Here is a 13,113-nt window from a genome sequence, read left to right on the forward strand (position 1 = left end):
TGAATTTGCATGCTGCCCTGTCTTGCTAGGTTGGGGAATTTCTCCTGGATGATATCCTAGGTGTGTTATCCAACCTGGTTCCATTCTCCCTGTCTCTTTCAGGTACTATAATCAGTCGCAGGTTTGGTCTTTTTACATAGTCCTATGGTTCTTGGAGGTTTGTTTCATTTCTTTTCATTCTTTCTTCTCTAATCTTGTCTGCCTGCCTTATTTCAGCAAGATAGTCTTCAATCTCTGATATTCTTTCTTCTGCTTGATTGATTCAGCTATTGATATTTGTGTATGCTTCATAAAGTTATCGTGCTGTGTTTTTCAGCTCCATCAGGTCATTTATGTTCCTCTCTAAACTGGTTTTTCTAGACAGTAGCTCCTGTAACTTTTTATCACGGTTCTTAGCTTCTTTGCATTGGGTTAGAACGTGCTCCTTTATCTCAGCCAAGTTTGTTATTACCCACATTCTGAAGCCTACTTCTGTCAATTCATCCATCTCATCCTCCGTCCAGTTCTGTGTCCTTGCTTGAGAGATGTTGTGATCATTTGGAAGAGAAAAGGCACTCTGGCCTTTTGGGTTTTCAGCATTTTTTTCATTGATTTTTTCATCTTCATGAGTTTGTCTAGTTTCAGTCTTTGAGGCTGCTGACCCTTGGATGAGGTTTTTGTAGGGATTTTTTTGTTGTTGATGCTGTTGTTACTTTCTGTTTGTTTTTCTCTCAATAGTCTGGTCCCTGTTCTGTAGGGCTGCTGCAGTTTGCTGGGGCCCTACTCATCTGGTTCACTCCCGCAGCTGGAGATGTCACTTAAGGAGGCTGGAGAAGAGCAAAGTTGGGTGCCTGCTCTCTGGGATCTCTGACCTTGAGGGGCTCCCACCTAAAGCCAGTAGGAATGCTCCTGTACAGGGTGTCTGGTGACCCCTGTTGGGGTGTCTCACCCAGTTAGGGGGCATGGGAACCAGGACCCATTTAATGAAGTACTTTAGCTGTCCTTTGGTGGAGGGGGTGTGCTGTGCTGTGGGGTAACCCACTCATCTGGGATGCCCAGATTCCTCAGAGCTAGCAGGAGGAAAGACTATGTCTGCTTGTCCGCGGAGACTATGGCCACCCCTCCCCCTAGGGGCTCAGGCCCAGGAAGATCAGAGTTCTTTCCCTGAGCCCCTGTCTGGAGTTGTTGGAGTTTCTGCAGGGAGGCCCTGCCAAGTTAGGAGGGAGGGATGGGTCAGGGTCAGGCCTGAAGAGGCTATCTGGCCACAGCCTGTGTGCTGCACTGTGGGGAATACCTCTTGTGACCAAGCAGTCTGGCCCTGGCTCCAGCAGGCAAAAAGCAGGACCTGGGGCTATAGTAATGGCTGCCGACCTTCCCTTCCCCTTGCCTTCCCCGCCAGGAGCTTCGTTTCTTAGGTAGCTAGAAGCTGCAGTGTTGGTTGCTGCCCCTCCCCCAGGGAGCTCAGATGGCTTAGACAACAGTCAGTGGCAGCAGTGGTGATGGCCACCTCTCCGCCTGGTAGCTCAGCAGGCTTAGGCATATTCCAGCAGAGTGGCTGTTGAGAATCTGTTGAGAATCAGCGTGGCTCTGCGGTTGGGACCCAAGGCCCTAGTGGTGTGGGCTCACAAGTGGGATCTTGCGATCTATGGGTTGCATAGTTCCGTGGAAAAGCACAGTTCCCCAGGCTGGGTAGCATGCTCACTCACTGGCCACCTTGACTGGGAGTGGGGGCTCCCCTGTCCTGTGTGGCTTTCAGGTGGCTGCCACACCACCCTGCTCTTCCTTCTTCTACGTAGTCATGCCAGCTGCCTAGTCAGTCCTCAACACCCACCGATCTTTTGCAAGGACTTTAATTTGCTTACCTGTATCATTCAATAGATGCTCAGAAAATAAAAACGAATGAAAATGCCATCACAGTATTACAAATAGGCCAGAAGTACTTTTTTTCAGTAGCAGGATTGCACATAATGATCATTAGTGTTTTACTTTAATAATAAGCAAGCTACCAGGCCGGGCGTTGTGGCTCACGCCTGTAATCCCAACATTTTGGGAGGCCAAGGCAGGCGCAACACGAAGTCAGGAGATCGAGACCATCCTGGCTAGCATGGTGAAACCCCGTCTCTACTAAAACTACAAAAAATTAGCCAGACGTGTTGGTGGGCGCCTGTAGTCCCAGCTATTTGGGAGGCTGAGGCAGGAGAATGGCATGAACCCGGAAGGTGGAGCTTGCAGTGAGCCAAGATCATGCCACTGCACTCCAGCCTGGGCTAGAGAGCGAGACTCTGTCTCAAAAATAATAATAATAATAATAAGCAAGCTACCATAAATTGGGGAAATCAAAAGACTAATAAGAATTATGCCACCACTCATTGATTATAGTTTTTATAGATGAAGTGTGTGTGTGTGTGTGTGTGTGTGTGTGTGTGTGTGTGTGTGTGTGTGATTTTTATTCCACAACATTTGGATTTAATATCTTACTCTATTACATTTCCAGATTGTGAAATCTGCCCAAACTCTGTACCCACCAGGATGCTAGTCATTTTAGAGACATCTCCCCTACCCTCCAGAGGATTATACCAGAATCACAGGCTTAAGTGGTACTCAAAATTGAGGAGTGATGCAAGTCCTTATTATATGATGGTTATTGTATTTTAAGGGTTTTTTAGACAGTATTATTATTCTATCAAGCAGATCCTTCAAGTTCATTTAGTCATTCCACTCTAATGGGATTCAGAATGCCTCTTAAAATGGTTTGCCTAACTGGCCCAAGATTCATTCACAAGGAGCCTTACCATTATTCTCTCAAGTCCATGATACATATGGTCAAGCTCCTACAGGCATTCCTTAGTAATTCCCCATCTGGAGCCTTGTAAGTGAGTTTCCATTTTTCTGTTCTCCAGGAAACCTTAAAAAAAAAGACTCAGGAAAGCCTTCCCCAAATACTCCAATCTCCAGGTTGCCTTATTCCACCTCTTCCATATCTTAGAACTCTCCTCTTTGTGAATAATCCTTCCAAAAGACTATGTTTTTAAAAATCAAAAGGCCTGGATGGGGTCACCTTCTGGATTTCTGGAAACTACTGCTTTGGTGAATCAAAATTTAAGTCTTCCACTTCTGCCTCTGCCATAGCAGAGATACAAAATGTTTTAGCTACTTTTTCTAGATGGAGAAGGAAAAAGATATGTCCACTCCAGTGAGAATAATATAGAAATGAATATCACAATAAATTATTCTGTCACATAAAAGTCAGCAGAAGTCACAGACAAAAATAGAACTCAGTTTAATGTCTGTTACATGGAAAAAATATTTGCAAATTCATGAGTTATGCTTTAGCTTATGCTTCTGTCCCCAAAGTGGTTTTTATTATTGTTGTTGGTTTAAGTAAGAAAGATCCTGTCTTGATTGGAATAATTACTATAAAAACTGCTTGCTTTGCCACAAATAGATTTAAATTTCATATCAAAGAGGTCAAGCTTGACAAATATGTGTATTTGCTGACACCTGATAAATTCTAAAGGTATTAGTTGCACAGACATATAATTAGTTTTAGAAATAGAAGTGTAATCAGGAGTATTTGCTGTGGATTTCTTGCATGCACTAGTGTTTGATCTTTAAAGTTTAAACAGCTGTGTACATATATACATATCTATGCATGAAATGGGGTCAGTGAATATGGCAGGGATATTTACATTTATAAGTCAGATTATATCTCAGGATCTCACACTCATGACTTAACATATTTTGAACATTACAATTATACCCCTTTAAATTGTTCAACTATGATAAAGGCAGCTCTTGTAACAATTTTTATCACACACACACACAACAGTCTTTTCGCTAAATTATGCTAATAACACCATCACACAAATTATGACCCCTAGGCAAGATTTAAACCAAACCAACTCCACAACTGAAAGTCTGTTTCACTGATGTGTCATACTGCCCATGTGAACATTTAGAGTAGTAAATTTTGCTTAAAACTACCCAGCTGTCATAGAAACCAATAGGTATGCATAATTGTATTGGAGGTGATAAAACCTGAGCCCTTCAAATAGAAGAAAATGCCCAAAGGGTAAAGTAAACAGGTCAACCAGAAATGCAAATAAGACCAAGGCAGTTTGTTCTCACCTGGGATGATTTTAAGCCTGAAGGACAGAGCTGTGCAAGTTTCTTGTACATTTTAGCAAGACAAAACAACAGAGCATCAAGGATTCCTCAGTTGGGGCTTGAAGTCTTCCAAGTTCAAAAAAAGCTCTGAAGCCAGGCAGCCAACTATAGGGTAGCTGAAAAGGGAAAAATGAAGACAGATCAAAGGAGTGGCTGAGTCCTAGTTTTCAAGGTTTCATTGTTAGAAAAGGGAAAAGAAGCAGGCCAATTACATGAGGAATGCTCGTACTCATGCCCAAGCTTTCTCTCTTACTCACGCTTACTCTTTTCCTCTTTATCAGACATACCCCAGTGTACCATCCCTAAGGAAAGGAACCCAGGGTATTCAACTATAAAGTCCTGGACAAGACTCATTTATATTCTTTGGCTTGACACCAGGCACGGCAGCCATGATCAGAATTCTGGAGGCAGATACAGGGCTAGAAAGCTAACAGGGAGAAGGGAGAACTTAGGGGATGAGCAGCCTGATTATTTTATGATGTGAAAACATAGCAGGGACTTCCTGTAAGCATGACCAGAGGATGGCATGACTGTCCAATTTTGACTTTCACAACCTAGCAAAGAGAAATACAGTCTAAACAGGTTTAAATAGAGAAAATGACAAGGAAGTAGATAAGGAAGATGAGAGATGGAAAATGATTGTACACAAAGAAAGGGCTATCAATTTGGAGAGAACGAACAAAATATACTTAACAAGAAGTGAGGGTTACTAACTTTATTAAATAATTGGTTGTTTTAAGCAGGTATAAATTTCAGTTTCACATAACCACAGCCAAAATGAAAGCATCTCTTCTATTGTGCTGTATTAATCAAAATGTGTTACATAGGCCAACTTTCTCAAAATATCCTGGGGTGCTAGTAAAATACACATTACTAGATTCCTTTTCTGAACTCTTGAATTGGAATTCTTGGAAGTTTGCCCACCCTCACCCCCCAAAATCTGCACTTTTAAGACATTCTCTAGGTAAGGAATTCTGAAAGTATGGTCTGCAGAGCCCAGGGGTTAACTGGTTCAGGGAGTTCCATGAGTTAAAATCATTCTAATAATAATTGCTATTTGCTTTTATCGCTGTGCTGATATTTGCTTTGATGGTGCAAAAGCAATAAAGCATAATACTGCCAATGGCCTAGCATTAATCAAAGCTGGGGCAACACATATTACTATTGTCGTTGTATTCTTTACCACCATTAATTTGTAGTAAATGAATAACAACAAGGCCAGTTTAACTTTAAAATGTCCTTGGTGAAGCATTAAAATTATTAATTTTATGTCTTAACCCATGAGGATGTGTTTCGTTAATTTTCTGTGTGACAAACGCAAAATCTGCATAAAGCACTTCTGACACATTCTCAAGTATGATGGTTGTTTTAAGAAAAAGCACTGTGTTACTGTTAGAGTTCAAGCTGAAAGATGTTTTTCTCATGGAACACTATTTTCACTTAAAAGAACAACTAATAAACTATGGTTATTCAGACTTAGATATTTCTTGACATGTTCTTGAGAAATTAATGAAGTGAGCTTGTCACTTAAAGGAAAACAACTGACCGTATTTGCTGACACTGGTAAAACTCAAGCTTTCAAGAGAAAATTCAAATTTTGGAAAATTGGTATCTGCGATCATAAGCATGACAGTTTTCTACCATTAAATATTTTTCTGATAAGATCAGCATTGATATTGAGTATGATTTTTGTATTGGATTTTAAAAAGGCAACATTTCAAAAATCTGTATAACTCAGTGAATTAGAATTTTCCAAATAAGTTATTATTTAAAAATCCATTCAGAGTGCAAGATAGACCAATGCTTGTTAATGAAAATAAGTATGAAAAGAATGAAAATTAGTATGAAAAGTTAGTTAATGTGGTTTTGTTTCCAATGCAATATTGCAACAAACCTTTAAACAACCACTACTTGTTGAATTTTAGTGTAGTATCAGAGAAGAATATCCACTATTATCTGAAAAGGCTATTAAAATATCTCTTCCCTTTCCAACTACATATCTGAGTGAGACTGGATTTTCTTCCTGTACTTCAAATGAAACAACATATTGCAACAGATTGAATGCAGAAAAATATATGTGATAATATAGCTGCCTTCTGTTATGCCAGATGATAAAGAGATTGGAAAAAATCTAAAACAATCCCATCCTTTTCATGACATACTTTTGTTTTGGAAAATAAGATTAGTTTTCCTAAAATTATGTTATTTAGGTAATTATATAATGGATTTGTTGTTATTTTAAAATAAGTTAATAAATGCGTATTTTAATTTCTCATTTTAATTTCGAATATAGTAAATATTGATGGATATAACCCATGTAAGAAAAAACTCTTTGGGATTCTTTATAATTTTTAAGAGCATAAAGGGATTAAAAAAAATTGAGAACTGCTCTGTTAGGTTATTCTATTCTTGATTACATTTGCAAATCATTACTAATAAAGGTAGGTACACATGGAAATGCTTTAATAATAAGACTAATATAATTTCTTCCCAACTAGTCTTAATGATCATGTAACTCATCAGAGATTTTTCTAAAGTTTAGGCACAGTGCTATTCAAAGGTAAGGTTATAGGGGATGCCTACGTGAATTGTTAAGATTCCTTCCACTTGTTTTACTCTAAATCATTCTGTCTAAGATAATTTAATCTAAATTTCATTTCAATTTGATCCACTTTATATTTCCTAAACATCTATCAACCACAGATTTTTTTCAAAGTAAATTATATATCTTGATCATGCTTCACAATGGATCAGATATAATTCCTCTTGTGTACAGAAACTTTCAAGAATTGCTTGGTAGACATAAACATTACATTTGACTCTCATTTTATGCTGCTGTCTGCAGAGATGCTTAATTATACTGTTAGCCACAGTCAACAGGGGTTGAGGGTAAATAAAACTCTGCTGAGAAATAAAAGAGAAGAACTCAGTCCAATTCAACAAACACTCACAGGATACCAACTATGTGCTAGCCTCTTTACCATGCATATGTTCTCTGACTTCTAAGATTTTAAAGTCAAGTGAGCGAAAGTTGTTTCAAGAGTTTTCTCTCTGAGTATCTGTTTTTTACTTTGTTAAATCTTCTCCTATAGTTAACACAGAAACTAGGGAACAAGGTGATTCCTAAGATTTAAGAACCAGCACCCCCACCAGATCTTTTTACCCCTTTTCCTACACACAGTAAAGCCCAGTTAACTATGATTGTTCATCTGCAGATAGCTGTAAGATAAACTAAAACATCAAAATTAAACAAGCTTAGATCAAGATTATGAGGCCCAATCACATTGTGGTTAAAATCATGAGGTTTTCATTAAGCCCAAATTTAAAATCTATCCCTCTTCTGCTCACTATCTGGTTGTTCTAAAGCAAGTCTTGTCATCTGTAAAATTTATCTAATGATAATACTTAATGTTGTGACTATCAAATAAAATAAAACACATAAAATGGTGTTTGGCATACAGTAAGCACCAAATTACTGTTAGCTCTCATATTTCTCTTTTAATATAAGCTAACTTTCTGTAAATATCTTTAATTTAATACCTAAATCCTGCCAGGTCACCAAACATTATTTATTATGTCTTTCAGAGAATAGCAGCAAAACCTTTCACATTTTTTTCCTTTATACCTTCTAAATATGTGCCCAAACTACCAAATATATGTGTATAATGTTTGGAAATTGATAAAATACATTCCTGATTTGAAAACCACATCAAGCTCAAGAGAAAAGCAGAATGTGTATAATTGTATACGTTCATCGATAAGGAAACGGAGACCTCCAAAAAATTAAGTGACTTAGCTAAGGTCACACAGTTAGTAAGTGATGGAATCAAGAGTCAAACCTACCTTTGTCTGATCCTGCTAACATATTCTATAATCTTCAACTGACAATGATCAATAAAGCTCCGAATAATGGCACCAAGTTTTGAAAACACCATTCATCAAAAGAAACATCAAAGGGCAATTCAATTTGATTCACTAGTGCAGACATGCTTTGACAATAATGTATATTCATATAATCTAAACAAGATTTTCAGTAAAAAGAACAGAAATAAATAACTTTCTAATAGTTTTTGGAAAAGTAACTAGAAAATTCCACCAATATGAACGCCTCCCTCCCTCATCATTTTGTTTACCCCAGGCTGTCCCCCACCAAGTTGCTTCCTGGATTGTGAAAAGAAGCTCTCAGGAAAAAACAGGGAAGTATAGAACTTGGTGCAGGGCAACAATCACAGAAGCACTTTAATCAGGAGACACATTAAACTTTTATCTTGAAAAGCTGAGAAAAAGCAGTGAGATGTGTGATTGGGGTAAACAAGCCTTGATTTTGTAGGGCCTTAAGAAGCCATTTGAGATACCTTCATGGAGGAAGTAAGAGGTAGGCAGTAATTGCTTTGGCATCCTTCAGAAAAAAAATCAATAATGAATATGAGTGAAGGGTCATGATAAAAATAACAGATCCACTCCGGGGGTAACAGAGAATGTGAAAATCAAACTAAAGAGAATTTGATCAATTGTAAAGTGGAGGATTGCTTCTTGTCACCTTGGCAGTGATGAGGGAAACGTGATGCATTTTTAAAATAATGAAGGCCAAAGCAACAGTAATATCATCGAATATCTGACTCCTGGATAGATTTATCTTTTAAGTACAACAAAGCCTCAATAAGGGAGCTACTCAGGGAATGGTAGGTTCAGGCTAATTAAATTGCTGTGCAAGTGAAGCTTTATCTGGAAGCTTCTTTAATCAATCTGGTCTAGTGAACATACTTGAATGTTTCTTTGCTAAGTGTGGCTGGTGCAAAATCTTAGAGTCATTCTAAATGTCATTGGTCAAAGCCCAAGTCCTGAGGAAATGTGGTCTTCAGCTCCAAGTATTTTCATCATGTACAAAAATTAATTTATCTTTTTCCTCATGTCCTGTCCTGCTAGTTCTCTTATCATCCTAGATACCTCCCTCTCCCTCAACTCCGAACTCTAAAAATTCACTGTGTCTTGTCCATTCAACTTCATAAATCTTTTTCACTATTTAAAATATACCTTCTCCTTTCAATTCCCACTATTACCTCCTCATTGCTTATCTGGTCTAATACAACTTACCACTAATTGCTTACTAATTGTTTTTGCCTCCTGTCTTAACTTCTCCAATCCAGCCTCCACCCTGCACCAGAGGTAGCTCTCTAAACTGCAAACACAGCCATAACCCTTTGCATCTGAAAATTCTTCAATGATTCTCTATTGCCTTCAACATTCAATCTAAATGTTTTAACCTGATATACAAGTTCCTTAATGATCTGGCTTCTGCCAACCAGTTCAGTTTTTCTGCCACATTCCATGTTTTACTGTGTGTTGCAGCCATACTCTGAACTATTTACAGTTCTTACTATATGCCTTCTTCCCTTATGTTTCTTCTTTTGCCTGGAGTGCAAAGTAGTTCTTTTACTTACAGTTATTTTCCCTTTTACTACCATTTCACTTGGCCTACTTCTAGTCGTCCTTTGAAATTAACATCATATGTCACCTCCTCAGGAACCCTTCCTTGTTATCTCCCTAATTGTCTATCCTATGAATTCTAAAACATCCTGTGCTTATGTGTACACATAATATTTAATTGAAATCATTCATGTATCCATTTATGTTTCTATTTGAATGCAATAACTATGTCCCTTGTCACTATACTCAGTACCTAGTGTTGAATAAATGAATGAATAAATAAGTCATTCAATAGATGCTTGATGTGGAATTGTTTCTGATTATCTACATTTTTCCCCTCAAAGTAAAGCATCACTTAAAAACCCCAATTAATTGAAGAATACAATTAATTGGACTCTAGTTTGATGTTTTAAGGAAATGTTCCATGAAAATATCTTTTTCTAGTGACATAAACACTCTCAAACATAGTACTGATCCTTTGCCTAAGCAGTAACTAGCATGACCACTAAATCAGTCCAAGGAAATATGCAAAAAATGTAATAACTGAAGTCCAGATATTTAAGAAGCATATCTAAGGAGAAAACTTCTTACTTCTTATAAGAAGTGACAGCTCTCTTATTGAGAGGTCTATTAATAAGAGTGTCGCCTCTCTTATTGAGAGGTGACAGCATGCTGGCAGCCCTGGCTCGCTCTTGGCGCCTCCTAGGCCTCCGTGCCCACTCTGGCCGCGCTTGAGGGGCCCTTCAGCCCGCCGCTGCACTGTGGGAGCCCCTTCCTGGGACGGCCGAGGCCGGAGCCGGCTCCCTCAGCCTGCGGGGAGGTGTGGAGGGAGAGGCGCGGGAGGGAACCGGGGCTTCCCGCGGCGCTTGCGGGCCAGCGAGAGTTCCGGGTGGGCGTGGGCTTGGCGGGCCCCGCACTCGGAGCGGCCGGCGGGCCCGCCAGCCCTGGACAGTGAGGGGCTTAGCACCCGGGGCCAGCAGCTGCGGAGGGTGCGCCCGGTCTCCCAGCGGTGCCGGCCCACCGCGCTACGCTCGATTTCTCGCCGGGCCTTAGCTGCCTCCTGCAGGGCAGGGCTCGGGACCTGCAGCCTGCCATGCCTGAGCCTCCCCTACCTATCCCCCCTCCCCTCCCCCTCCCGCGTGGGCTCCTGTGCGGCCTGAGCCTCCCTGACAAGCGCTGCCCCCTGCTCCAGGCGCTGGGCCCCACCTACCACCCAAGGGCTGAGGAGTGCGTGCGCACCGCACGGGACTGGCGGGCAGCTCCACCTGTGGCCGTGGTGCGGGATCCACTGGGTGAAGCCAGCTGGGCTCTTGAGTCTAGTGGGGACTTGGAGAACCTTTATGTCTAGCTAAGGGATTGTAAACACACCAATCAGCACCCTGTGTCTAGCTCGGGGTTTGTGCATGCACCAATTGGCACTCTGTATCTAGCTAATCTGGTGGGGACTTGGAGAATCTTTATGTCTAGCTCAGGGATTGTAAACGCACCAATCAGCACCCTATCAAAACGGACCAATCAGCTCTCTGTAAAACAGACCAATCGGCTCTCTGTAAAATGGACGAATCAGCAGGATGTGGGTGGGGCCAGATAAGAGACTAAAAGGCTGCCTGAGTAAGCAGTGGCAACTGCTTGCTCGGGTCCCATTACACACTGTGGAAGCTTTGTTCTTTCACTGTTTGCAATAAATCTTGCTGCTGCTCACTGTTTGGGTCCATACTGCCTTTATGAGCTGTGACATTCACTGCGAAGGTCTTCAGCTTCACTGCTGAAGCCGGTGAGACCAGGAACCCACCGGGAGGAATGAACAACTCTAGACGCGCCGCCTTAAGAGCTGTAACACTCACCGCAAAGGTCTGCAGCTTCACTCCTGAAGCCAGCAAGACCACGAACCCACCAGAAGGAAGAAACTCCGAACACATCCGAACATCAGAAGGAACAAACTCCTGACACGCCGCCTTTAAGAATTTTAACACTCACCGAGAGGGTACGCGGCTTCATTCTTGAAGTCAGTGAGACCAAGAACCCACCAATTCCGGACACAGTATCTCATCCTTTCCTCCAGCTCCAAGTCTGTCTGTCAATCTGGAGTTATAGCTCAGGAAGGCAAAGTCATGTCTAGTTTTGTGTGGCACTACAATCAAGCTTAGTTCACATCAGAGGATAAAAATAAAATCCTGAACTGGTGTAGCCAGAGGGGAATGTTTAATAGTGTTAAATAGGAAATGCTATAGCATGCAAGCTTCAGACATTACAACTTAGATTCAATCTGGAAGTTAATTTCTCCACCAGGATATGTGGTATTTAAAACACTGTTTCTACACAGTGTGGACAGAGGCTGCTAGGTAGAAAATACATTCACAAGAAAGAGAATTAGAAAGCTAAAGGGCCGAAGAAACATGGAAAATATTCCCAACGTAATAAGTAACGCACAGCAGATGTTTCCGAGAGAATCCATAATTCTTTAGGAATAAAACTGATAATATTCCAAACTGAAAATGATTTTTGAGCAAGTATTTAATCAGAGGGGCTGAAATAATGGGACCTAGTATAGAATACCCCTAGGGCAGAGCAGCACAGGGCAAGAACAGCTCAGGCCACTTTAACAAGGTTCAGAAGAACTTGGACAACTCAAATTAAACCCAAATTAAACCCAAATTAAAGAAATGTGGATCAGATAGGACCATAGAAATGTTCTTTTCCTCAAGTGGTTAAAGCTTTTAAAACACACGCGTGCACACACACACCACTTTCTGCAGGAAAATTAAATATTAGTATCAGAGCACTAAAAATTTGCAGTATGTGTATGCATATATGCTTAACAATTTAGAAAACTGTCATTCTATAGTGTTTCTTCAGTAATTCCAAGTTAATATTTTTGTTGTCTCCATGAAGTTATATGTTTAAAGAGACCCTGTGACATTTTTTATTGAAAGTGATCTGGGACAGATCAACGACACTTGATAATTAGTCAAAGTTCCGGTTCCCAGAGTAACAGACTAGTTATGTTACCAAAATGCCAGGTATTTGGTCTAGGTCCTGCTGGTCACACAGCCAGCCAATCGCTGAGACAAGTATTGCCAGAGAAGTCTTTAATTGGTTGCTGCAGCCTAGGAGATGAAAGATCAGTCTCAAATCCATCTCTCTGACCAACTGAAATTAGAAGTTTATATGGCAGGGAACAAATGTAACTACGTGTGGGAAAACAGGAACTTGGGAGGGGCAAGAGAGCAATCATGATGAATGAGGGGCCTGGAATCTCATTGTCTAGATGTGGTGGCCTGGTGAGTTTCAGTTTCTTGATACTTTTTGAGAGGCCTGGGGGTCCTTTCTTGAGGAAGGAACTCAGATAAAACAAATTTAAGTTTCAGCAGGGCGCAGTGGCTCATGCCTGTAATCCCAGCACTTTGGGAGGCCAAGGCAGGCGGATTGCGAGGCAGGCAGATCACGAGGTCAAGAGATCAAGATTATCCTGGCCAACATGGTGAAACCCCGTCTCCACTAAAAATACAAAAATTAGCTGGGCATGGTGGCACGTGCAGG

General features: G+C 40.7%; 1 long non-coding RNA gene across 1 annotated transcript in view, besides 2 other annotated features; it reads right to left on the bottom strand.

Annotated features, from left to right (window-relative positions):
- LOC107985698 (uncharacterized) overlaps positions 1 to 13,113 on the bottom strand; it is a 375,495-nt gene that overhangs the window by 274,007 nt on the left and 88,375 nt on the right. Inside the window, exon 4 of the long non-coding RNA XR_002958819.2 lies at positions 4,108 to 4,262. This is a non-coding gene — a long non-coding RNA (uncharacterized LOC107985698). The remainder of the gene's footprint in view (positions 1 to 4,107; positions 4,263 to 13,113) is intronic.
- Positions 956 to 1,457: an enhancer, noted in NCBI's record as "H3K4me1 hESC enhancer chrX:127731137-127731638 (GRCh37/hg19 assembly coordinates)". NCBI's record gives its function as "activates a minimal SCP1, AML or CMV promoter by ChIP-STARR-seq in naive H9 embryonic stem cells {active_cell/tissue: H9 hESC(naive)}" and the evidence as "EXISTENCE:reporter gene assay evidence [ECO:0000049][PMID:30033119]".
- Positions 1,458 to 1,957: an enhancer, noted in NCBI's record as "H3K4me1 hESC enhancer chrX:127731639-127732138 (GRCh37/hg19 assembly coordinates)". NCBI's record gives its function as "activates a minimal SCP1, AML or CMV promoter by ChIP-STARR-seq in naive H9 embryonic stem cells {active_cell/tissue: H9 hESC(naive)}" and the evidence as "EXISTENCE:reporter gene assay evidence [ECO:0000049][PMID:30033119]".

This window comes from Homo sapiens, chromosome X (assembly GCF_000001405.40).
Source record: "Homo sapiens chromosome X, GRCh38.p14 Primary Assembly".
Lineage (NCBI taxonomy): Eukaryota > Metazoa > Chordata > Mammalia > Primates > Hominidae > Homo > Homo sapiens.